General features: G+C 35.6%; 1 protein-coding gene across 3 annotated transcripts in view; it reads left to right on the forward strand.

Moving 5' to 3' along the window:
* SLC16A7 (solute carrier family 16 member 7) overlaps positions 1 to 26003 on the forward strand; it is a 193813-nt gene that overhangs the window by 34001 nt on the left and 133809 nt on the right. For all 3 annotated transcript variants that reach the window (XM_011538989.3, NM_001270623.2, NM_001270622.2), the window contains exon 2: positions 25123 to 25221. The gene's annotated coding sequence lies outside the window, so the exon portion shown is untranslated. The remainder of the gene's footprint in view (positions 1 to 25122; positions 25222 to 26003) is intronic.

The following is a 26003-nucleotide window of genomic DNA, read 5'->3' on the forward strand; positions in this document are numbered from 1 at the left end:
CAAGTCAACAATTATTGAAACGAAGAACAAAGGAGTGAGAACTGGATTGGCATTGTGGTAATTGCGATACACCCTGACTCTCCTTCTTTCTTTCTGAATACACCACTGAAAATTCGGCAGAATGATGGCTCTCTGTTGTGGTCACTTTCCTTGGTGTGGTATGTTTTCTCTTTGGGAAGTTTATAGTCTCATCTTGAGCATTATTACAGCTTAACATTAAGTTGCATATATTGGTTCACTTGTGGAATACTCTTAAAATATGAACAGATTTCCTGTCTTTCATGGGACAAAATGTAATCCAGTACATTTTGCAAATGGTAGTAGTTAGACACAGTTGGAAGATCATGCTTTAGAAGCACTGGCTATTTACCAGTGGTGTGAAAATTGACAGCTTAATAAACCTCTTTGAGGCTGTTTCCTCATCAGTAAAATGTGTCTGGTGAAATATCTTTCATCAGGGTTGTTACAAGTATTGAATGAAACACATACAGAAATTACTTGGCTCATCCTCAGAGTGCTCAAAACAAGTCAGCTTTCTTCTTCCAACTAATGGCTATGAACTAAACAAGATGATTTGTATTTAGCACAGAGTCAAATTGCACTATGAGAAAACCTATCGTAGTAGCTCTGAGACTTCAAATTTTGAAAATTATTATGTCAATGGAATATATATGCATCAAATTTCTAATAGAGTTTTTTTACACAATAACTATTTCATAATAAGTTTGTAGAGTTTAATCTTTCCAGGTGCTAAGGTGTAAGCTAATTCCTTGATAAGATTAAATGATTAAAATCAGTGGTTTCATGGTATTCACAAGGAGAAGGCCTTCAATTTGCTTTTTGTCAAATTGCATATTTAGAAACATAAAATACATTAGATTTGTTTCAAGGACAAGTAACTGAAAAATTTGCTGCATATGTATTGTATTCTTTTTCAAAGGGGATATTTATAGCTACATATTAACCTCTTAGGTAGTCTTAGCTTATTTTTGGCTAAAATTCAAAATTAGAAATGTTTTAGAATAGTTACGGTGGCAAGGGTGAGGTAGAGATTGATGGAAATGTGCTTTCAAGCTGCATCAATTTGGTATCCTGAAGAGTTTTACATATACTACAAGGTTCTTTCTCCAACTGTTACTAATAAATGGATTTATTTTCTTTCTGAATTGGAGCTCATAGCTCAGGCAAAGACATTGGGTCTTCTGCTGCTAGAATAGGCCTTTGGGAAGAAAATAGTTTCCCTTCTGTACTTTCGCTTGTAGCAGAATTCAAGTCAGTTATCTACAGAAGACAAACCTCAAACATTCTGGGACATCAAACTTGGAACAGATGGAGATATCTGCTAGGAAAAGAGCATTGGTACTGGACTCAACAAGGCCTAGTAATGCACTATTATGTTTATATAGCCTCCAGGAAATATTATGGTTCATGTTGTCTGTTAGCTATTATTATATATACTTGCCTCATCAGTCCATTTATAACGCATTGAGTATACAACTTGGTTTTGTAAATTTTTATTTCATTTTAAGTTCCAGGGTACATGTGCAGGATGTGCAAATTTGTTACATAGGTAAACATGTGCCATGGTGGTTTGCTGCACAGATGAACCCATTACCAATAGTCCAGCATGTATTGGATATTTTTCCTGATGTTCTTTCCCACCCTGGCCCCAGTGTGTATTGTTCCCCTCCTTATGTCCATGTGTTCTCATTGTTCAGCTCCCACTTGTAAGTGAGAACATGCAGTCTTTGGTTTTCTGTTCCTGCGTTAGTTTGAGAGCCCTACTTGTTTAAAGCACCGTTCCATGTAGAGATGGTTGGGAAAGTAAATATAAAAGCATGGTTCATGCCCATAAGTAGCTTAAATTAGTGTGTGTGTATTTGTGTGTATGTTTGTTTGTGTGTGGGAAGTGGGGTGGGAAGAAATAAATAAGCAAATAAATTACTATAAGACAGAGTATAAAAACCCTAAGACAGTAGAATCAAAGATGAGAATTTGTTTGTCCTGAGAAGTGAGAGGTCACATTTTTATGGGAAGATGTCAATTAGAAGACATCTTTACATCTATAGCTTAAAAGTAGACGGAATGAGTAAAAGACATGCTAGCAGAGGGAAGATGGAACAGAAAGGAAAGGGTAGAATTAATTTAACTTCATTGTATACAATGTAAATAGGAATAAAGAAGATTAAACTTAAATGCTAGAATTTCATCTGCTTTGACTTTTATGCACTTTTAACAAAGTATGATTTTAGATTTGTTACTTAAAGTGGTGGAAAAGAAAGGGAATTGAAAGTTTCTAACCTTGATTTTCTTTAGATTTTTAAAACTTGTCTGTGTTTCTCAACCTCAGCACTATTAATATTTCAGATGGGATAATTCCTTTTATGGGGGAGGTTTAGCCCCATCCCTGGCATCTACCCAGTTCTGGGACTAGGGTTGGGTAAGGGAGGCAGCTGGGGCACAATATTTAAGGAGGCATTCATTCTTTGGGGCTCATAAATTTTAATCCTGTACTTGCACAACCCTGAATTCCTCCTTAAATCTTGAGCCCTGGGCACCTTCTGTGCCTTGCCCTAGTCCTGACACTACCTCTGTCCTCTAGAAGCCAGTGGCACACTCCCAGTTGTGAAAGCCACATGTTTCCAAGCATTGCCAAATATCCTCTGAGGAACAGTATCACCCCCGGTTAAGGTGAAATGCAATCCAACTGGAATAACTTAGCATATTTTTTTATTTGTAAAATGCCAAAAGGAGCAGCCAGCAGTGTGGCCTTTTTTGTATTCAAAGTAGCAATTAAATACAGGTGTACTTTGGGCAGTGTATGAGTGGCTGAGACACACTTGGGGAAGAAGGGATTGAAGAGAGCTATGGAAAGAAACTGTTGTGAATTAATGGGCTGATGAGTGTTGCGTTAGGGAGAATTGAGGATTGTGTGAAAGTTACCAAAAGGTGAGGTATCTATTCTGCTCTTAATAATATACCCGACTTCCAGGCCTTGGTTGCATTGAAGAATAATAATTCTGATGTTCATCCGGGGGTGGATATGACAAGATTTTGAGTTACATTTTTCTGATCCTTGTAAAAATTCTTCAAAAATCTGCCATGTGCTTGTACTTTATTTTCTTTACATTATACAAAGTTAGGCAGTCTTTTTGGTTAAGGTTCCTTTGTACTATTTGTATTTGCTAATATCAGTTCTACCCAACCCTACTCTATTCTATTTTCTTGGGTTTTGAGGGAAGCTATGATACTTCAGAAACTGCAATTTGTGCATTATGGCTGCCAAAGTAACAGATACATCAGATACTAATGGACTACTAATCATATCAGTTCATATGAGATCACAAAGCCACATTGTATTGTATGTAGTCTACAGTTTAAATAAGAGAGATATTGTTACTTAACATTTAGCAGTAGAGTTCAATCCCTACAGTTCCAGGTGTTTCACATTCGGTGATGTGACACCTAGTGTGGTGCTTCATTTTTTTGCCACACTTACTACAAAAGTTGATAAATAATAATAATGACAAATTAAATCATTCAGCTTCATAGCTCACTGTATTAGTCCATTTTTACACTGCTATAAGTAACTACCAGAGACTGGGGTAATTTATGAAAAAAAAAAAAGAGATTTAATTGACTCACAGTTTTGCATGGATGGGGAGGCCCCAGGAAACTTACGGTCATGGTGGAAGGTGAAGGGGAAGCAAAGCACATATTCCATGTCAACAGGAGAGAGAGTCAGGGGAGGTGCTACACTTTAAAACCATCAGATCTCCTGAAAAGTCACTTACTATCACGAGAATGGCATGGGGCCAACCACCCCATGATCCATCAAATCACCTCCCACCAGCTCCCTCCTTCAACACAAGGATTACAACTGGAGATGAGATTTGGGTGGGGACACAGAGCCAAACCATATCACTCACTAACTTCTGCCAGGCAGGCATTGTGCTGTATATTGTATTTGCATTTAATGCTTAGTAACCCTTACTGATGATTACTAACATTATCCCTATTTTATGGATATGGAAACTGAAACAGCCGGGTTCATTATCTTGTCCGTAGTCACATGGTTAGGATCACTTGATTCCAAATCTGCCAACTCTGGAATCCGTTCTTACATACTACATCAGGTCTGCCTGTAGATGGCCTTGTAGATTGTGCAGAGTACCTCCAGGTGGTAGCAGCATGCACACTGTGTGCATTATGAGCACACTGAGATTATACTGGGAGGTACATGATAAGTGCCAGATGAATTCCAGTGCTTTTAAATGTTGTTTATTTTGTTAAAGAAAAAAAATTATTCAATATTACTTGTTAAAGCTTGGTAAGAAAGACTTTATTTAATATCATCACCATAGGTATGGGAAACCACTGCAACTGCATGTTATAGTTGGTGAGAGAGATTGAGCAAGTGAGAATTCATAGCCAAGGAGCAGGGTAGGGGTTAGTAGGTGGAAAATTACTAAGAGGAAACTTTGGGGATAAGGGGGATTCCAGCCAAACCAACCTTAACGAGATTCTTACTGAAGATAGGCCAGGGTGGTCAGATATCACCTGAGGGATGGTGGAGGATGAAGAGCCTGAGTAGATATCCAGGGCAATGCTATATCAAAGGTGTAAGGTTTTTGCTAAAGCAACATAGCAGGGCTCTTTGCTAAAACTGGATTTTATAAGAAAGTGCACAGATGGGCCTTGAAGAAGGCTTAAGAGTCTGAATAAAGTTTGACCAAGTAGAGAATTTTTGTAAATTAAAACAATTTTATCTTGAATGCTCTACAGTGGGTGATAGGAAAGAGGGAAATGATTTATTTCTTTTGTTTTCCCTGCAAGGATATTCCTAGATATAAATTATATTGAAAAAAGGATGGAAGGGTAGAATGCAAGGAAATGTTGTTTCTTGCCTGTTATGGTTTCCACATTCTAGTTCAGCTGATGCACTTGAGAATGCAACTACCCCTTTAGAACTATTCTTTCATCTAGTGTTAGTGAAAATTGTATAATGCCACCACAGTTCTTTTTCTGAGGCCTAAGGCTAGAATATTCTCTCCCCATTATTTATTATTGTCATGCAGCCATTAGCTTTTGCCATTAGAAACTATGCTTATACTAAAGGTGTTACAGCTGGATGTATGTGCTCTAAATTCTCATTACATGCTGCTGACCTCTCCCTATAAATCTCAGCTTGGAGTTATCAGCTTTCTACTTGTTGGCCCTAATTGGAAAGTTCTCTGCTATATACAGGTACAAAATGTACTATTGGAGCTTGAATTTCTGCCCCTTATTAACATTGATTGCCTGGTTGACTTATTTCCTCAATTCTCTTTCCATTGGAAATCTGGCTGAAACAAATTCCTCAGTTTTATATACAAAGTGAGCTTATGATAGAACACATTACAAATCATGCAATGCAATAAATGACACAATCCAATGCTTTTGCCATTAAAGAATATTAAAATATCCTTTACTTTACTAATTACTTGAACACCATTTCTTCCACTTAATAATCTAGAAACAAATTCATGAATTTTCCAGCAGTTTGAAACTTATTTTTATCTGTTTGAAAATCCATGTATCAGTTATACAATAGTATTTTCCATGAAGGTTTTGTAAGGAGTTATGTTATAATTTCCTAAAACCTATCTATACTTCAGATGGATTCTATTTTGACAAGACTCCTGTGTAGCCCAGAGGTGGCAGAGGGGATATTTCTGACTTGATTTATCTGTCCATCAGAAAAAAATATTCCTTCTTCTTCAGAGGAAGGTAGACTGTATACTGCACTTAAAACTCTTAAACACTCAAAAATCCCTGTTCTCGGTTCTTTATGTATGTTAATAATGACATGCTAGAAATCAGTAGTATTCAGAAAGATTCATCTTAAGTGCATACTTAGAAGTATCAATGTTTTAGTACATATTTAAATATTTAAACAGTTATTTCACCAATTTCTATTAAATGCACTTCTGTAAAAAAAAAAAAAAAAACTGTGTAGGGTATGCTGAATGTGAATTTTGTTTTCCTTACATTTTTATTTATTTTTTTCTATTAGAAACTGACTAACCAATCTTCAAATAAAGCAAACTTAGGCTTCATGAACTCGTGAGATAAAATGATCAAAACTGTGTAGGTTCTAAATTAATACCTGTTTACACTTACGATATTTGAAGAAATTAAATAAGAACACTTTCTGTTTCCCTCAGATGAACTTATTTTTCCCAGCATTAATGTCAAGAAACAATCAAAGAGGAAAACATTAATGTAGAAAATTTTCATCATTGAAAATTGAAGTTAAATTATTATTCTCTTTTTTTCTAATGTATGGAACAAAAGTATTTTAGGCCTTTTCTGATTAAGTTATTCTACAGAATGTTCAGGCAACATACTTTTTTTTACATCTGGTGACAAAAATAGATGCACAAAATAGGAATTTATTTATTTATTTATTTTGGGACAAATTCTCACTGTGTTGCCCAGGTTGTAGTGCAATGGCACAATCACAGCTCACTGCAACCTTGACTATTCAGGCTCAAGCAGTCCTCTGCCTCTGTCTCCCAAGTAGCTGGGACTACAGGTGTGCACCACCACACCTAGCTAATATGTTTTAAAGTAGGAATTTATTATCAGATATTGCAATTTGCAGAATTATAAGGGTGGTGGACAAATTCAGCTGGAGAGACAATAAGTAGTACATACATTTGGAGATATATGATGAATTTGATTACATGAATTTAAGATTAGAAATTCCAATGTTATACTAGTTTTATGTAGTGCTGGGCACACTGTGATAATCCAGATGCTAATCCTTAAGCACATCTACTTGATATGTTGTTACTTTTCATGTAGTATGTAGATTATGAGAAAATAATTCCTGATTTCCCATAACTTAGAAAATTTTGTTTTTATTTCCATTATGGGCCTGTAGAAGTCAAGTACCTCTGACCTTTCAGCTCATTTCTTTGAACAGAAAATAGTTAAGAATAATCAGCTTCTACCCTTTGAGTATTAAAAAAGAAACTGTCACCATGTCACATGATTCAAATGTAAATCTAGCTTTCTGCTCTGGCTTAGTAGAAAGATTATCTTTGCTTTAGCCTCTGACTGCTTTTAGTAAAAGAAGCAGTCCCTTCACTGCCCCTTTTGTGTGCACATTGAAAGGGAAAGAAACCAACATGTCACACATATTTAAATTTTTAAAAAGTACCTAAATTTAAGATACCACAAAGTGTTATTCTCAAATCTGTCGTGTGCTGCCTACATGCCCAGAGCTCAAAAGAAACTGGTAAAATGCATTTTGGGACAAAAGGATTTTTTCTGCTAAATATTTTAAATCTAATAATCTGATATTTTAGAGTGACTAGTTATTTTCACCTCGGTCTCGTTGAGGCTTTCCTGCTCATTTATCATTCTCTTTCTGTTTTTTTTTTTCTCTTCTTTCTGTTTTAGCATTCACCTTTGTAGGGTTAGAAAGGTGTGAGACCTTTTCTCATACATCAGTCAGAGGCATTAGACTTACATAATAGGTTGACACTCCTATAGCAAAAGACAGGTTAATGAAAAAAGCATGGCAAATTTATTTAATCAAAGTTTTATGTGATATGGGAGCCTTCAGAAATGAAGACCAAAGACCCAGGGAAAACCGTCTGTTTTATGTTTACGTTCTCTTGTGATTTGACTGTGTTCTCCAAAGTTCATGTGTTGGAAAGTTAGTTCCCAATGCAACACTGTTAAGAGGTGGGGCCTAATGAGGTGATTAGGTCATAAGGGCTCTGCCTTCATAAGTGGATTAATGCCTTTATCATGTGAGTTGATAAGTTCCTGTGAAAGTTGGCTTGCTATAAAAGCAAGTTTGGTTCCCTCTTGCTCTTTCATGCTCTTTTGCTTTTCTGCCTTCTGCCATGAAATGATGCAGCAGGAAGGCCTTGTCCAGATGCCAGCACCATGCTCTTGGGCTCCCCATTTCCAGAACTGTGAGCCAGATAAACTTCTATTGCTTAGAAATTACCCACCCTGTGGTTTTCTGTTATAGCAGTACAAAATGAGCTAAGATTCATTTTGTAAGCTGTCTATTCGATAAAGAATAGACAGCTGTGTTGAAATGTAACTGGATAAAAGTATGGGTAAAATGAAATGGTAATAGGCTGAAGGAGGAAAACCCAGCAAAACCTGTCTGTTCAGATGCTTTTTGGACTCTTTGTGTAGCATTCTTTTCTCCCAGGAAGGGGCAAGATCTTTCTGGAATGAGAATCTTCAAGAAAGAAGGGACAGGGGAGGGAGTGACTTTCTAGATTTTATGGCTTGCTTTAGAGAAGAGGGGTTCTAGATTCTGTGATTCACTTTGGGAAAGTAGTATATCATTTTCATTCTTTCACTGACCTAGGAGATAATCCTATTTTAGAAATGAAGAAAATTTGATTTTTAGAGCTTAACTAAATTTTCCCAATTCACTCAGTTCATTAGTGGTTGACCCAAGAAGACAGACCTGACTTTTAACATCTTAAATATTCTACAAGTAATTCTTATATCTCTGAAAATTTAAACATTTTCAAAATACTTTCTCCAGTCTATTTGGTGTAATTTTTAAAATGTCTTTCATGATAATTTTCTAGGAAAAGGTTTGTGTAAGTTTCTATCAGAGGAGACTAGAATCTCTGTTAGCTGTTTTGGCCTACAATTAACACAGGAAACATGATACTAAGTACTTATATGAATATCAAATTACGAGAAGAGTTTATGTATTTTTATGTATCCTGATGGGTTATTACATCTTTACTATTAACATGTGAGTTGCATTGTATGTTGGTAGTTGAAACTGATTTGAGCCAGAATAGTTAATTCTTAAACATTAAGTTTTAATTTAATAGCTTACAATCCTATTCAGTTTTAATCTTTCATTGGGAAATATAAACTGAGTAATACATACATGAGCAAACTGTATAATACTTTTGGGTGATGGGCTTTAGACTTGAATAATTCTTTAAAAGTGCATTGGTTATATTTTTTCAAAGTTTTTTCAGCAATTTTCAACACCTGTTTCAGGAGTTGAGAGCTAATTTTTCATAACACTCTTGTAATTGTTACCATCATTCTTTGGCTTTATCCTTCTGTATTCTGAAAATCATTTTTTAGTTTACTCCATCAATTTTGTTTGAGACAAAACAGCGCATTGTTTGGCTCCTTTCTTATTTCTCTCCTTACAATGTTTTTACAGATATTACTGTTTATAAGCAATAAAACAAACACAAAAGCAACCTAAAACTACGATATCAAACTCTTTGTAACAATGAGGGGGTTGAAGTCATGCTGTATAACCAAAGTGATTAAAAGGAAAAAAGAAAACTACTGCTTCTTTTTTGTCATTCTGGTTTTTGAGACCAGATCTCACTCGGTTGCCCAGGTTAGAGTAGAGTGGTACAATCAAAGCTCACTGCAGCCCCTGACTCCGGGCTCAAGCTATCCTCCTGCCTCAGCTTCCCAAGTAGCTGGGACGAGAGATGCAAGCCACCATGCCTGGCTAATTTTTTTGTATCTTTTGTAGGGACAGGGGTCTCCCGATATTGCCCAAGTTAGTCTCAACTCCTGGGCTCAAGAGATTCTCCCATCTTGGCCTCCCAAAGTGCCAGGATTATAGGCATGAGCCAGCATACCTGGCCAACTACTGTTTATCTACACATGCACACAACCCTTCCGACACCAAATATATGATAATTTTTCCCTTGCCAACCATTCTCCAATTTTGTCTCATACTAAATGAGTGTCTTACAATTTAACTCAATTCTTATGCTAATGGCCCAGAGTTAGTGCAGACTCCACAGGTTAAGGGCTCAATCTCACAATACGTTTCCATACTTCAGATGCCAATCACATGTAGTATGTCCCCAGATCTCCCACAACTTCTGTCCAACATGGCCACAAATTGGGGATTCCAGCTCCTTACTCAGGTTCAATAATTTGTTAGAACAGCTCGCAGAACTCAAGGGAACATTTTCTTATAGTTACCAGTTTATTATAAAGGATATAACTCAGAAATAGTCACACGGAATTGGTGCACAGGACATGGTGTGGGTGGGGGTACACAGCTTTCATGTTCCCTCTAGGCATGCCACCTTCCCAGTACTTGGAGCAGCATTAACAGTTGTAACTATTTCTCAGCCACATGCCAAATTTAAATGGTTGTAAGGAAACTCAGGAATGTTGCTAGAAACAAAGAAGACATTAGGCTCAACACAATTAGTAAGCAGAACGAAAGGGAATTTGCAATTTACTCTAATGTTTTTAATATTTGACTTTTGGGGGACATTTCATGATTAGAACTTTTGTGTCCTATTTAAATTTTGGTGAATGTCCCTGTTTTATAATTTGAAATTAAATCTTGGGTTAACTTGAACTTTATGCCCCCCCAGAGAAAAAATAATTTAGAATTTCACTTTTCCAAGCATTAGGATTGTTATTTTTGCTTGTTATGAGAAATTAAATACGTGACATTCTGAAAAAGAAAGTAGTGCTTTTCCTAAAATAGTCTCGAATTCTGTCTATCCAGATAACAAGAGGATCCATGCCACCGTTTACTACTAAAACTGTTTATCATCCCATGTGTTTGCAATTGTGTAGGATTTTTTTTCAATGATTTTTTCCTTTTTTACCATTTGATTGACAGATACAATGAAAGTTTTTCACAGCCCCTATCCAAAACAAGTTCTGCCATGTATTAAAAACTGAAAATACCCATCCTTCATCTTGGAAGCCTCATAAAGAGTCTGATATTCTAAATGTATTTTCTAAAACATTAAAAAAAGAAAATATTTTGGTGTTTTGCCAAAGTTCCCTTAAGAATTTTAAAACTAATATTGTGTAGGTTTTTTAAAGAGGAACTGCATGTATGAAAAAATGACTTATGTGGTCAAATTGCATGCTTAGAAAGGTTTCTAGTTGAACAAAACACTGAAGGCAACATTTGTATAGAAAATTAAAAATATATATATTTATATGTCTATACATACATATTGTTTGAAAAATCTTATTTAACTGTTTAAGCTTTATCTATAAATTGGAGATGTGATAGCTGCCAGGAAATGATGTAGGGAGAAATGGATGAAATAGCACATACAAAGTAGTTACCTGGGTAAATCTCTATCTTATCACTAACTCTTCCATCCCAGAGGCCTCCTTTATCACACAAGCTAAAGAACCAATTTCCACCATGTCTTATTCTTATAATCCTTTTTAAATTTAATTGATACAAAGCAGTCTTTTTAATGTATTTGTATTCCCTACTAGGGCAGAGACATTGTGTGTTCATTTGCTGCCAAATTCTCCAGAGTCTATTCTTATACATGGTATGCATTCATTTATTCATTCATTCAAAAACAATTCTTACAGCCTACTTTGCTTTTGATGGGGTTACCATGCTGAATGAAAAATGAAGTTTCTGCTTTGATAGGATATAAAAATAGTTTATTTATAAGCCAATACTTTTTTGATGAGTCCAAATATATATGATAATTGTGCAATAGTTTCTAGGGCTATTTTTTTTTAGCAGGTATCAGCATAGGAAACAAAATTAGTCCGTTGTACAAAATATTGCCTTTGTAACTTTTCTAATATTTACATTGAAGGGAGCCATTTTACATGGATATTTCTAATTTGAGGAGAGTTGCTTAACATTATTGGATGTCACTGTTTCTTACATTTTCCGTTAGTGAAAGAAGGGAGCCAATTCTGATGCTCTTCTACAATCCAGGGCTTAAAGAACCATTATTCATTGTACTTTTCAATGTATGTCACTTTCTTTTTATAGAATGTCTTTGTGGCCCTTTCCTAGATGTCATTAATAAGGCAGTGTAGAGTTTGTCCTTGGTGGGAAGATGTATAATAGTGGTAATACTTCACCATTTTGGATTATCAAAACTGTATCTATGTGCCCTAAAACACTGAGTAGCATCTAGCAAACCATATGTTTTCTAATATTGCTTTATATAGTGTTACAAAAAAAGTATCAATTTAAAAAATTATAATGCTAATTCATTTCAATTTAAACACAATCTAAATTAAGTCCTTTCTTATACATTTACATTCTGGAGACAAAGTTTTTGAACTGCATAGATGATCTAACAAGTATTTCAAAATGAATTTGCTCTGTTAGCATTTCCTGTACAGATTCATTATCCTTTGTTTCCGTGCTTCATTTTGACCCTCAGGCTTGGAATTCCTTACCTATAGTCCTGTTAGCCCATTGATTCCTCCTTATCCTTTAAGAATTATTCTAACCATTCTTTTTTTCTGGAACCTATTTCTGCCCTTCATTCACCCCAGGGTGGTTAGATATCCGTTCTTAGTGTTCCCATAAAATCATGCACATATTTATTTCGCTTACCATATTTTTCATAATTATGTTTCTTCATTTGCATCTCCTACTAGATTGTGACCTTTTTGATACTCAGGATTTTATGTGTTAATCTTTGTAACTCTAAAGCTTAATGCAGTACCTGTCTTATAGATGGTGCACAGTAAATGTACATTGCATTAGTGGATGAATAAAAGTTAAGAATGAAGATGGATCTGATTCTTCATGCAGAAGATAGAGCCTCAAGGAAGGTATAGTCCAGAAGACAAAGCACAATTCAGTGATGATGACTTTTCCCACTGTGATAGTAGTCAAAGTTATAGAATGAATGGGCAATAATGAAATAAAAATTGATTGAGGAAGAACATGCAATCTAGACTAGAGAATTGACTAACCATCAATTAAGATTGTCTTTATAGAGTTCAGTTGAGATAGATTCCATAATTGTTGTGAAGAATTTGGAAATTGTACACAGAGTAAAGAATTCTGAAACTTAGTTGAAAGTAACTTGTTGAAAAACCTTATAATAATTGGGAATACAGGCACAAAGGATGTTGGAAAGTTTATTGTAGAGCCATAGATTATTGATGAGTTATCACTGCCAGCATATCCTCAGAATACATTTATGTTGTCAATTTTTAAAAGCACTTGGATAATTAATTTAGATTAATATAATTCACTTAGATTCTGTATAAAATATTGGTAAATGATATTACTTCCTTGATTTAGACTTTACTTTCTGCCACAGACTATGCTGCATACTTTCATATGCATTAACTTTAATATTTACTCCAATGTAATTATTCACATTTTACAGATGAGGAAACAGAGGGTAAGAAAGCTCAATCCAATTGTCTTGGATCATAGAACTAATAACATTTCTGACATTAAATCCATTCCATTTGAATTGAAAGTCTGTACTTACACTACTCTGCACTATGACCCCAAGAGTCTCTAATATACATATAAGTTTTCGGCACAAGTTGAAAGTGGTAAGCATATATGTCTATAAATCTAGTTGTCTCTTACATAGTTATTCATTTGTTCATTTAGTCATCAAACATTTATTGGCCCTCTAGGCACTGCTAGGTACTGCATATGTAACATATCCATATATCATCATGGAAGTTACAGTGGAAGAGACTGGCATTAGAAATATAAACAACTGTATAATGACAATTTTTGATAAATGCTATGAAGAAAACTGGAGTGCCTTTTATTAAGCAGATTACAGAGCAGGCTTCTTATGTACTTACTTCCCTGTGGGCAAATATAATTAGATTTACAATATAGCTTACTGTAATTCAAGAAGATGCTTAAAATAGCTGTAGATAAATGGGACCACACCAGTGTAATCAAGCTGAACAGTCTGAAAACGTTGGTCTTCTAGCAGTCTTTTCACAGCACAGAGGGAATTTTGGCAAACTATGTGGTATTCTTGAAGAAAATCGTGGTGTTACACTTCAATAGGTTCTGAAAATTTACCAAATGTCACATCGGTATTTCAGTTTTGGAGAGTGACTTTGAAACTATTTCATCAATGACCTACATCAGTTCACAAAAGAACATAATTATCCATGGAGATAACTCTTAGGTTACCCTTTAAAAAAGCATTATCTGTCCTGCTGCAACTCTGAGCATATGGCAGATTTTGAATCGGAAATATGGATACAGCATTTGATAAGTTTGAATATTTGGCTTAAAATATTGATAACATTTGGCATAAAATCAAAATAGTAATATAACAGGAGAATTTATTTCATTTAGAACTTAGTAAAGGTGGGTGGTCAAAATAAATAAAAAAACAAAAAAATACAAACAAAGCAAAGCAAAACTATGTGAAACTTTGCCGGATGTTAACGACAACCTAGACCCTGGCTTTAGTGCGCATCAAAAGTTATAAAGTCTTGTCCGGGCACGGTAGCTCATGACTGTAATCCCAGCAGTTTGGGAGGCTGAGGTGGGTGGATTACTTGATGTCAGGAGTTCGAGACCAGCCTTGTCAACATGATGAAATCCCATCTCTACTAAAAATACAAAAATGAGCCGAACATGTTGGCGCATGCCTGTAATCCCAGCTACTTGGGAGGCTGAGGCACGAGAATTGCTTGAGCCTTGGAGGTGGAAACTGCAGTAAGCCAAGAAAATGCACTCCAGCCTGGGCAACAGAGTGAGACTCTTTCTCAAAAACAAAAAACAAAAATGAAAACAGTTATAAAGTCTTACGTTTTAGTTTTAGAAGTTACCTTGGACCTGTAATATAATATCATAAATAACTGGTACTTAACTAATTTCTGATTGCAAAAAAATTTCTAAGTTAATGATCTGTTTATTTGATTTTTATTTTCTCACCAACAAATGTGTGTTGTAACTTTACTTCTCGTTCCTCCCTCCCCTTTCAAAATTTCTTTATAACGGATAGAAAACATAATTTCCTGACAGTTGGAGACATTTTTGTAATTATCTGCAAACCTGCGAGGTTTAAGACTCTTATTTGTTAATGCCATTAGAAAGTGGTTGAAATGATTTTCATGAAGTAAGTAAAAATGTATGTGAAAGATAGAAGTTAAGCATGAAATCCAATATCATAATTGAAACCCATTATCATTTATCAACTTTAAACATTATGAGCCTTCCCTATTATTGTTTTTCCTGGAGTTTCCTTATCCTGTTAGTACTCTTCATTATCTCTTATGTCTTTCTTGTGTACCACTCTCACAGGGGAGAAACCTTTAAATTGGGTCTTGAGGAATAAATAGGAGCTTGCTCAACAGAAAGGTGACTAAGAGGATTTCTTAATAGGCACTGACATCTATTCAGGCTAGAAAGTTAAATTAGTTCAGTTTTATTATTGGATGTAGTGCAAGAGAAGACATGATGCTAAAAGAGAATAAAGCAGTGGTATAGGGTCAGATCAGATAGCAAAACCATTTGATATGGTTGGGCTGTGTCCCCACCCAAATCTCATCTTGAATTGTAGTTCCCATAGTCACCACATGCTGTGGGAGAGACCCACATGCTGCTCTTATGATAGTAAATGAGTTCTCACAAGATTTGATGGTTTTATAAGGGGCTTTCCCCTTTGCTTGTGTCACATTCTTCTTCTTCCTGCTGCCAAGTGAAGAAGGATGTGTTTGCTTCCCCTTCTACCATGATTGTAAGCTTCTTGAGGCCCTCCCAGCCCTGTGCAATGGTGAGTCAATTAAGCCTCTTTCCTTTATATATTACCGAGTCTTGGGTGTGTTCTCATACCAGCATGAGAACAGATTAATACAGTAAATTAGAACCACAGAGAGTGGGGTGCTGCTATAAGGATACCCAAAAATGTGGAAGCAACTTTGGAACTGGGTAACAGGCTGAGGTTGGAACAGTTTGGTGGGCTCAGAAAAAGACAGGAAAATGTGGGGAAGTTTGGAACTTCATAGAGACTTGTTGAATGGCTTTGACCAAAATGCTGATAGTAATAGGGACAATGAAGTCCAGGCTTAGGTGGTCTCAGATGGAGATGAGGAACTTGTTGGGAACTGCAGTAAAAGTCACTCTTGCTATGCAAAGAGACCAGCAGCATTTTGCCCCTGCTGTAGAGATTTGTGGAATTTGACCTTGAGGGAGAGGATTTAGGGTATCTGGTGGTAGTAATTTCTAAGCAGCAAAATGTTCAAAAGTAAGTAGAGCATAAAAGTTTGGAAAATTTTCAGCCTAACAATACGATAGAAAAGAAAAACCCATTTTCTGGGGAGAAATTCAAGCTTGCTACAGAAATTTGCATAGGTAATGAGGAACCAAATGTTAATCACCAAGACTGTGGGGAAAATGTCTCCAGGGCATGTCAGAGACCGTCACAGCAGCCCCTTCCGTCACAGGCTTGGAGGCCTAGGAGGGAAAAATCATTTCCTGGGCTGGGCCCAGGGCCCCCCTGCTGTGTGCAGCCTCAAGACTGGATGCTTTGTGTCTCAGCCACTCTAGCCATGGCTAAAACGGGCCAAGGTACAGCTCAAGCCATTGCTTCAGAGGGTGCAAGCCCTTAGGCTTGGAAGCTTCCACATGGTGTTGGTCCTGCAGGTGCATAGAAGGTAAGATTTCAGGTTTGGAGACCTCCACCTAGATTTCAGAGGATGTATGGAAATGCCTTGATGTCCAGGCACAAGTCTGCTGCAGGGTGGAGCTCTTATGGAGAATCTCTGCTAGGGCTAGGGCAGTGCAGAAGGTGAATGTGTGGTTGGAAGCTCCCCACAGAGACCCCACAGGGGCATTGCCTAGTGAAGTTGTAAGAAGAGGGCCACCATCCCCTGGAACCCAGAATGGTAGATCCACCAACAGCTTGCATTGTGCACCTGGAAAAGCTGCAGGCACTCAATTCCAGCCCATGAAAGCAGCCAGGAGGGGGGCTGTACCATGCAAAGTCACAGGGGCAGAGCTGTTTAAGGCCATGGGAGCTCACTTCTTGCATCATTGTGACCCAAATGTGAGACATGGAGTGAGTCAGCTTTTGGAACTTTAAAGTTTAATGACTGTCCTACTGGATTTCAGACTTGCATGGGCCTGTAGCCCCTTTGTTTTGGCCAATTTCTTCCATTTGGAATGGGTGTATATACCCAATTCCTGTACCCCCATTGTATCTAGGAAGTAATTAACATGCTTTTGATTTTACAGGTTCACAGACAGAAGGGACTTCCCTTGTCTCAGATAAGACTATGGACTTGGACTTTTAGGTTAATGCTGAAATGAGTTAAGACTTTGGAGAATCGTTGGGAAGGGCATGATTGTATTTTGAAATGTGAGGACATAAGATTTGGGAGGGGCTGGGGGTGGAATGATATGGTTGGCTGTGTCCCTACCCAAATCTCACCTTGAATTGTAGTTCCCATAATCCCCATGTATCATGGGAGGGGACCTGATGGGAGGTAATGTAATCATGGAGGCTCTTACCCCTGTGCTGTTCCTGTGATAGTAAGTTCTTATGAGATCTGATGGTTTTATAAGGGGCTTCCCTCTTCGTTCAGCTCTCATTCTTCTCCTTTCTGCTGCCATGTGAAGAAGGATGTGTTTGCTTCCCCTTCCACCATGATTGTAAGTTTCCCAAGGCCTCCCTAGCCCTGTGGAACTGTGAGTCAATTAAACCTCTTTCCTTTATAAATTATCCTGTCTCAGGTATGTCCTTATAGCAACTTGAGAATGTACTAATACACTGTAAGTTTCATGAAGAAATGATCACATCAGGTAAAGTTGTGTTTGGTGACCAGAAGGGGCCCACCTTCACTGCAGAAGCAGAAGAAAATGAATGAAGGACTAATAGAGATACATAAATGTGCACAGGTAATCAAGATGTTGTGGGAGTTCATGCCTGATCTGATGGCATTAATTTTTAATTTAAATAAGCCAGGTTAGTTGGGAGTGTGGCTCATTCCTGTAAGCCCAGCACTTTGGGAGGTCTAGTTGGGAGGATCGCTTGATGCCGGGAGTTTGAGATCAGCCTGGGCAACATGGTGACCACAAAACATGGTCACTACAAAAAAAAAATACAAAAATTAGCCAGATGTGGTGGAACATGCCTGTAGTCCCTGCTATTTGGGAGGCTGAGGTGGGAGGATCACCTGAACTTGGCGAGGTAAAAGCTGCAGTGAGCCATTATTGTGCCACTGCACTCCAACCTGGGTGACAGAGTGAGACCTTGTCTCAACAACAACAAGAACAACAACAATAAGAAGCCAGGTCAACTGCAGGGGGTGATTGAGGATATTTAGGGAACTTAAGGTTAAGGGATGATGTTAGAACTGTAATGGAGGAGAGGAAGATACCAAGATATGTGTGAAGAGCTTACTGGACAGGCCTTGGGGTCCTGCTGAAATTGAAACATATAAATATGTAGTGGTATCAATCTGTACAATTAATCCATGTCCCTTAGCTCTATTTAATGCAATAATTGCATAGTCCATTCCAAGTTTGGAATTTTCAGACTTCTTGTTGCAAGAAGACATAGGCATGAGGGACTTGAGATTGTTAGTGATTGATTATAGATGATATTAATATTTATTGAGTACATATGATATGTTAGTAATTGTACTTAGTACGTTATATACGTTGCCACATTTAAACCTTTTTTTTCTATGAGGAATAAATATTGTTGCCACTTTCTAAAAACCAACTGAAGATTCAGGTATGTAATTTTCTCAAAATAGATTTACCATGATGTAGTGTAACTGGGATTTGAGTGAAGAAACATTGCAGCTGAACAGAGAAAAAAAGTGAGGCTAAAAAGGGCTCATAGTTTAGGAGAAGATGTATCAAGAGACTAACCAGTCTCAAGAGGATTCCAGGACAGGATTGATTGAAATAAAATATTTTAGATTGCGTGAAATACAGGGAACTAATTGGTAAGTAGAACATCAATGTTTAAGCCTCTAGTGATAGAGGCATTCAGAGTGGCCATGAGATCCAAGTTGGAAATGGTTTTCTGAAATGAGAGTTGAAGTAGAGATCATGAATTCTATGGATAGATTATTGATTGTGGTGCATAGGTATTGATTATCAATATTGATTTTGGTGGGATTTTGGAATCAGGAGAAATGGATTTTGAAGGAATAACCTAAAAGTTGATGAGTCCTAGTATTCAGAGTGATACAGATTAGTGAAGTGAATGTAAGTGAAAAAGAAGAATTTTTTGCATGAAAGTGGAAAAGTAATGACACAAAAGCCACAAAATGGAAGTAGGATTATTCTGAGCCTCTATCTTGATCTGAATGCATGAAGACGATGACTTATATAAATCAGGCTTTTAAGGAGAAAACAATTTGGAGACAAACTAATGTCTCAGGAATAAGGAAGTTTGCTTATTAAAAAATGGGAGTCATAGAGTGTACAATGGACAAGGTTGAGAAGGACATCAAAAGGAGTGTGGTAGGGTGGAGAGCATGAACCAAAAGGGAAAAAGTGCATAGCTGTGTAAGCGAGGGATTGCGAAAGAGGATTAGTGATTAGAGGAAACAGTTTATTTGGGGCTTGAGAGTGAGAGACAAGAGGCATCAGTGGAATTTAGTGGCTTTAAATTTGTAAACAGAGCTTTGGTTTAAAGGTGTTTTGCTATTTCATTTCCAAATACTGCCATGACCTGACTTTCAACCACATTATTATTTGAGCTAAGTGAGGATGACAATGTTCAAAGTTCAGTGGTGCTTGGGGCTGATACAGGAGTCTTGTTGGTCAGATCAGTGGAAGATTTGGATGATATTAACTGGATCTATACCTCTGGTTTTGTGGCCTTACTTAATAGTATTTTACTTTAAAAGTTCTAGGCCAGACAAGGTGGCTCACACCTGTAATACCAGCACTTGGGGATGCTGAGACAGGTGGATCACCTGAGGTGAGGAGTTCAAGACCAGCCTGGCCAACATGGCGAAACCCCGTCTCTACTAAAAATACAAAAATTAGCCAGGTGTGGTGGCGGGCACCTGTAATCCCAGCAACTTGGGAAGCTGAGACTGGAGAATCACTTGAACCTTGGAGGTGGAGGTTGCAGTGAGCTGAGATCATGCCATTGCACTCCAGTCTGGCCTATAAGAGTGGAACTCCATCCCCCCTCCCCACCAAAAAAAAAGTTCTAAAAATATTAGTAAAAATTTTATAGATATTTGTCTAATATTTCACTTTTTCAAGGCATTGCATTGTATTAATTTAATATTTAGTGTTTAGGATTTATATATATCATCTTTTTTTTTGCTTATTAGAACAGATACCCCCTTGATGATATTAATTTCCATTGTTAAATTTTAAAAGGGTATAGTCTTACCTGAGCACTTAAATAACTGTAACGAAAATTTAAATTGGGTCTGTAGATTTACTTGTTTCACAAGACATGAAAAAGAGTGTGTGTCTTATTCAAAATAAAGGAGATATGGTATTATGAAGTGAATTCTAAGCATACAATTCATCAAAGTTTAGCACTAGAAGTGTTTTTATACACCACATAGTCCAGACACCTATTTATGGCTGATGCATATCCATTTGGTGTCTTTTCATGAAAGATATTTCTTCTAACTGGTATTGTGGAAACAGTGAGCAAGATCAAAGTTGGAATATTGTCTCTACCCTTAAAGCTGTATACCCCTGAGAACTTGACTTCTCCAAGCAGAGTATTTCCTCTTTTGTAAAATGGAGATGTTACCATTATCAAAGAGTGATTGAGAGGACTAGAGTGCCCATTTTACTTTTAGATATCTTTGACTATGAGGTCATACTTATACTGAACAAAAATCTATCTCTCTGTAGTTCAGTGAATATATCTATTCACATATAGTTATGTCCCAGGAATGGATCTGCTTTGGTATCCCTGCTGTGCTCAGGCGTGGGTTGGGAGGTGCCTGTGGGAAGGGTGGACTCCATGCAAATTCAGCAATGGATTTCAGAGCTCAGAAGCTTGAGCCCTTGGTCAGTTATACTCCCTCTAGTTGTAGGTCTTTGAGGCACATGCTTAAAAGCACCACATCATATTTGTCTATCTTAATTGTATGTAAAAATAAAATTGCTAAAAGCTCTAGTGTACTATTTGCTTTATAGAGTGAAAGATAAATGTAAATTTTGCTATGGGGAGATGGTAGCTAAAAGAAGCTACTATTTTTGCTTCTCTCTTACTCCCATGCAGAGCCCTTCTCAAAACCACCCATGCTTCCCTCAGAGTAAGGTGATAAACTGAGCATGGCAACATTCCAAGACAAGCTCGGTACAATTTGCCTTTGCAGTGTGTCTTGGCTTTGCTCCTCTTCGTGGTTAATTTTCAATACACCACTAAACAAATTATATTTTTTCAATGTTTATTGATTTTTCTTTCATCTTTGACTTCCTCAATTAGGAAAAGGGTAGGCTATGAATGTCTCTATAACAAAGAAGTGAGAACAAGATTAGTGAACTCAATAATTTTGTTAAAGTTTTGAGATCAAAGCTTATTGTCCTAGTGTTTTTCTTACTCATTTTCAGTATATGATGATGTAGGCCATTTCCTTAGATTCCATTCATGTAACTGTATTACCCTTGCTTAGAGATTTTAAGTTATGCTACTTATTAAGGAGTACCATAGAATTTCTTATGTCAGCCATGAAAACAGCTGTATACTGTAGCTGTAAATAGTGTTTACAGTTATATACATGTAGCTGTTTGTAACATGGCTTTTTAGAATCTGTCTCCAGTGACTTTCAAACATCACCTTTGCTGGTTATGTAAACTTAAAACAATGGATTTGCTTTTGGACATCTAAGAGTATGATGTGGTGTCTCATGCCTGTCATTTACCAGCAAAAGAAATGTTACTCTTCAGCTTTGCCACAATGCCCTCACATTCTTCAACCTTGAGTTAGTCAGCCACTTATCAGCTGATGTGATTTTACATTTTTGCCTTGATCATTAATCATTCACTCTAAGTTCTCCATTTATAGCGTTTGCTAGTTGTTTCCAAACAAACATGCTTTCTGGGCTTGAGGAAGGGAAAAGCAAAAAAGATTTAAAAGAAGATAGTAGATGGTTTCACAGTTATTTTGGCTTTATTACTAATGCTAACTACTGTCATAAGGTATAGAACTAAGCTTGAGGTATTAATAAATATTTTATTCAAGGAACTTTTTTTTCAGCCCTAATGAGAATTTATAAACATGATTGGATGGTGCTGTTGAGTTAAAGGGAGAAACTCTCCTTATAGAGTAGATTGTTTGCTGATTTTCTGAAAATTTGACCTTGGATTTACATAGTTTTAAATATTCCTTTTAGATTTACTGTGGTTTCTAAAACAGTCTCTTATTTTTGGAGGACATTTATTTATTTTGTGAAATAAGTTAATAAAATTACATATGTCAGCTGACATAATTTTTCACTTTTATTATTCTGTAGATAATAATCAACCAGGTGTAAACATGAGTAACATATTTCCCCTATTATATCATACATTCCTAGCCCTTTGAATGAGCACCTTTGCAAAAATATATTTCATTTCTGTTTTGATTAAAATTTGTTTCATGAGTTGGAAGAGATCATGAACCCTGGGTAATGCATTTCGTTGTAACTAAAATTCTTAAGTCAATTAATTATGAGTTACACCAGACATGGAACTTTATGACACCCAGAGTATTCTATTAAAATAGCAGTATTGAAATAGCTGCTGGCCCTTTCTAAAAAGTATGACCATTTAAATCACCTAAATAATGATCTCTGAAATTATAGAATTAAAAATACCATACTATTTCCTACCTGATAATTGGATGAGAAATTAGACATTAACCTAGCCTTCCAAAGGCCTAGAGATTCCTTTTTTTTTCTTTCCTGTTCCTTCTTATATGTGTTAATTTTATATTCAGTAAAACAGATCAAGGAATTTCTCTTAGTTTATGAACCTTTCTAGAAAAGTAAGTATAGCATATACTTTTGCTGTTGGTTTTATATTAAAGAAATTATGAAAAAGTTGCCTTTTAATATAAATAAAAGTCTTTGTAGAACTTATCTGTGATTTACACATGCATGCTTCAGAAGGTCAGGTATTCTAACTTTTGTACAAGGTGAAGGTTACTTGGAAGATGAAAAGGCATGCCGAAACAAATAGAAAACATTTTACTTCATTTTAGCTACCTTTCTTTTTAAAAAATCTTTATTTGGTAGACATGATTATGGAACTGTCAAATTACTGTTTATTGTTTTACATATTAGCCCACAAACATATAACTTTTAAGGTTTGCTCCTGTTTAAAAGAAATAAAATCACTCTTTAAGACAAATGAAACTTTTACTGCACTATTTTTGCAGAACAAAATACTGTAAACTAAAATTAACTGTAATATTCTAATGTTGTAGAGAAAAACCAGGGAATTTCTAAAGTCACGTTGTTAAAAGAAATTTTTAGTTGATGAATAAAAAAGAAAAGAGAAAGAAAACTTCCTTAACTAATGATTCTCAAATATTAGTAATATTATTTTATTTCACATGAGAATCAAAATGTGGGAGATCTTGCTTTTTAGGTATGAGGTAAGAAATATAATTATGCAGACAAAAATGGATTACAGCAAAAATACCAATTTGTCACCATACCTATACATGAAATAAATTCAAAGTTATATAATTTTAGTGGTAGCTACTGAATCAGAAAGTTAGAGTAAGATGTTATATTTTAAAAATATTTAGTATATAAATTTTAGTTATTGTGGTATAATAATACCAGTAATTTTGTGAAGTATATCTTAATGCTAATTCTAAATTCAAGTGAATTTAATTATTGTTTTAAGGAGGTATTTGCATGTAAAATTCACAAGTTTTTGTGCAATTTTTACTAAATTACCATGTATATACATGGTCTACTTATTATAGTTTTGGAATTTACAAAGTAAACAATTGATTATCAGCCTAAAATTCCTTCCATTTTAGATTACAATGTCAAGGTTCTCTGGTTAAATCGCGTAACATTACAAGTGCTATCGAAATGACCTCAGACTATTTCTGTTCTGTTTTCTTTGGCCTTACTCATGTGATTTTTTTATATTTTAAAAACCTTTGCACTGCACTGTACTACTGTAGAACAATCTAATTTTTCTTGATTACATCTCAAAGTTGATTATATTGGTTTAATAATAAGATAAATATCAGAATTTGTATACTTAAACTTATTTTTTAAATAAAGAATCAGCAGGGATCTGTTCATCTATATATTCCAATTTTTTTAACTGTCTTAAGTAGCAATATTAATGTTAATTAATGTTATTATTAATAATTATATTTTAATCAACTATTATGTGGTGCCATAGTTATAACATAGGGTTAGTGGTGATGTGAACAAATTTAACTAAATAATCTGTATCTAAAGGAGTCTTTAAATAGAACCTTGGAGCTTTAAGAGAAGAGTTAATAGTTAATAGTTATTAATACTTAATAATATTAACTATTAATAACAATTATTATAATCAATAACAATTATTCAGTCAACAATTTATTATTCATGTTGTTGTCATTTCATTGCCAAACACTATATGTATTGATATTTTACAAATGTTAACTAGCTTAATTCAATAGTCACAATTTTGGGGTAAATACTAGTATACCTTTGTTTTCAAGTAAAGAAGTTGGACAGAGAAATGAAAAACTTGTTTCAAGGTTCATATCATCAAAGAACATACAAGAACTGATGATTAAACATTGGTTATATTTTTGTAATATTTCTGATGTATTGTTAAACCTTATTTGTCTCACTGAAATGTTGCTTCAATTTTTAATTAAGACATTAATGTAAATAGTTTTAATGTATTTATGTAAAAAATTTCAAGATATTACTTTATAAACACACACATAGGCATGCACACACACACACACACACTCACACTCACATATATTTTTGTACCAAAAATGGAGAGAAACATCACTCAAAAGTTAAAAACAAGCTATTGGTTTGAAATCCCAAAGATGGTGGACTGAAATGAGTCTCTCTGATGTTTTGGCACGAAATCCTCTGCACCTTGAGAAATTGTACTTGGGACAGAAAATATAAAGGCAGGCACAAATAAAGGCAGGCAGGTGCCATAATTATAACATGGGGCTAGTGGTGATGTGAACACATTTAACTAAATAATCTGTTTATATCTAAATGGTCCTTTAAATAAAAGCTTGGAGCTTTAAGAGACAGTAAATAGCATTTTCAGCCAGCAATAGAAAGCTACATGTTATTAAGTCTTTCAGATATGGAGTTGGATATATTTTTCATTTTTCTAAACATGCATTGAAATATTTAGATGGTTACTATATTCTTTGATTCTTCTAGGAGTCAATCTTAAGATGTGATACTTTCCTGTGAAACCTGAAACAAGGTGATCTGGGGAACCAAAGACTCTGGGACTCTTGGTGCCAACAGAGTTACTCTGTGAGTATCCTTGGTGTGTAATGATGTTTTCTTCCATCTAGCTCTTGTAAGTCATGCTGTTTATGCAATTGGTAAATCTTAATGTGAATGGTAGTATTGGCATGACTACTGTTTTAATCCATTTTCTAAAATAGGACATATCTTAAAGTTGGTACTTTTAGCTTCTAGTGTTTCCATGATCCAATATACTGTGTGATCTTGGTCAAGAGACTAAGTCTCAGTTTCTCTGTATATAAAAAGAAGCTAAATATAAACTTCCTTCATTTAAATGATTATAAAGTAGTAAATGATAAAGTTTCAATAATAATAATAGAATTATATTCTATTTTTATTACTAGCATGAATTCTGGTTTTAAAATAAACGAGAAAGCTAGAGGTATATACTTTTAGTTATTTACCTTTATCATTGGCACTTTTTAAAAAAACTACATTTTGAACAAAAATGATCATATTGGGGTTTTTTTACGTTCATATTTTGTTTGCAAAGGGCTTTATCACTGTGTTTCCACACTCATGATTCAATCTGATTTAATCCTTCATACAATCTTGGTCTAAAGCAGGTCAGGGATTTCAATCCTCGCTGTGCAGATGAGAAAACTGATGCTCAGCATTGTGTCTTGCTGAAGACTGCATAACTTATAAGGGAGATAATTTAAAATCCAATGTTCTTATAAACAGTCTATACTCTTTTCTGTAGACTGTTCTTATAACTAGTCTATACTCTTTCAAATGAATGTAACCAACTGTATTCAATTTGTCAAATTTGTATTTTTGCATTAGAT

The sequence above is a fragment of the Homo sapiens genome, chromosome 12 (genome assembly GCF_000001405.40).
Source record: "Homo sapiens chromosome 12, GRCh38.p14 Primary Assembly".
In the NCBI taxonomy this organism is placed as follows: domain Eukaryota; kingdom Metazoa; phylum Chordata; class Mammalia; order Primates; family Hominidae; genus Homo; species Homo sapiens.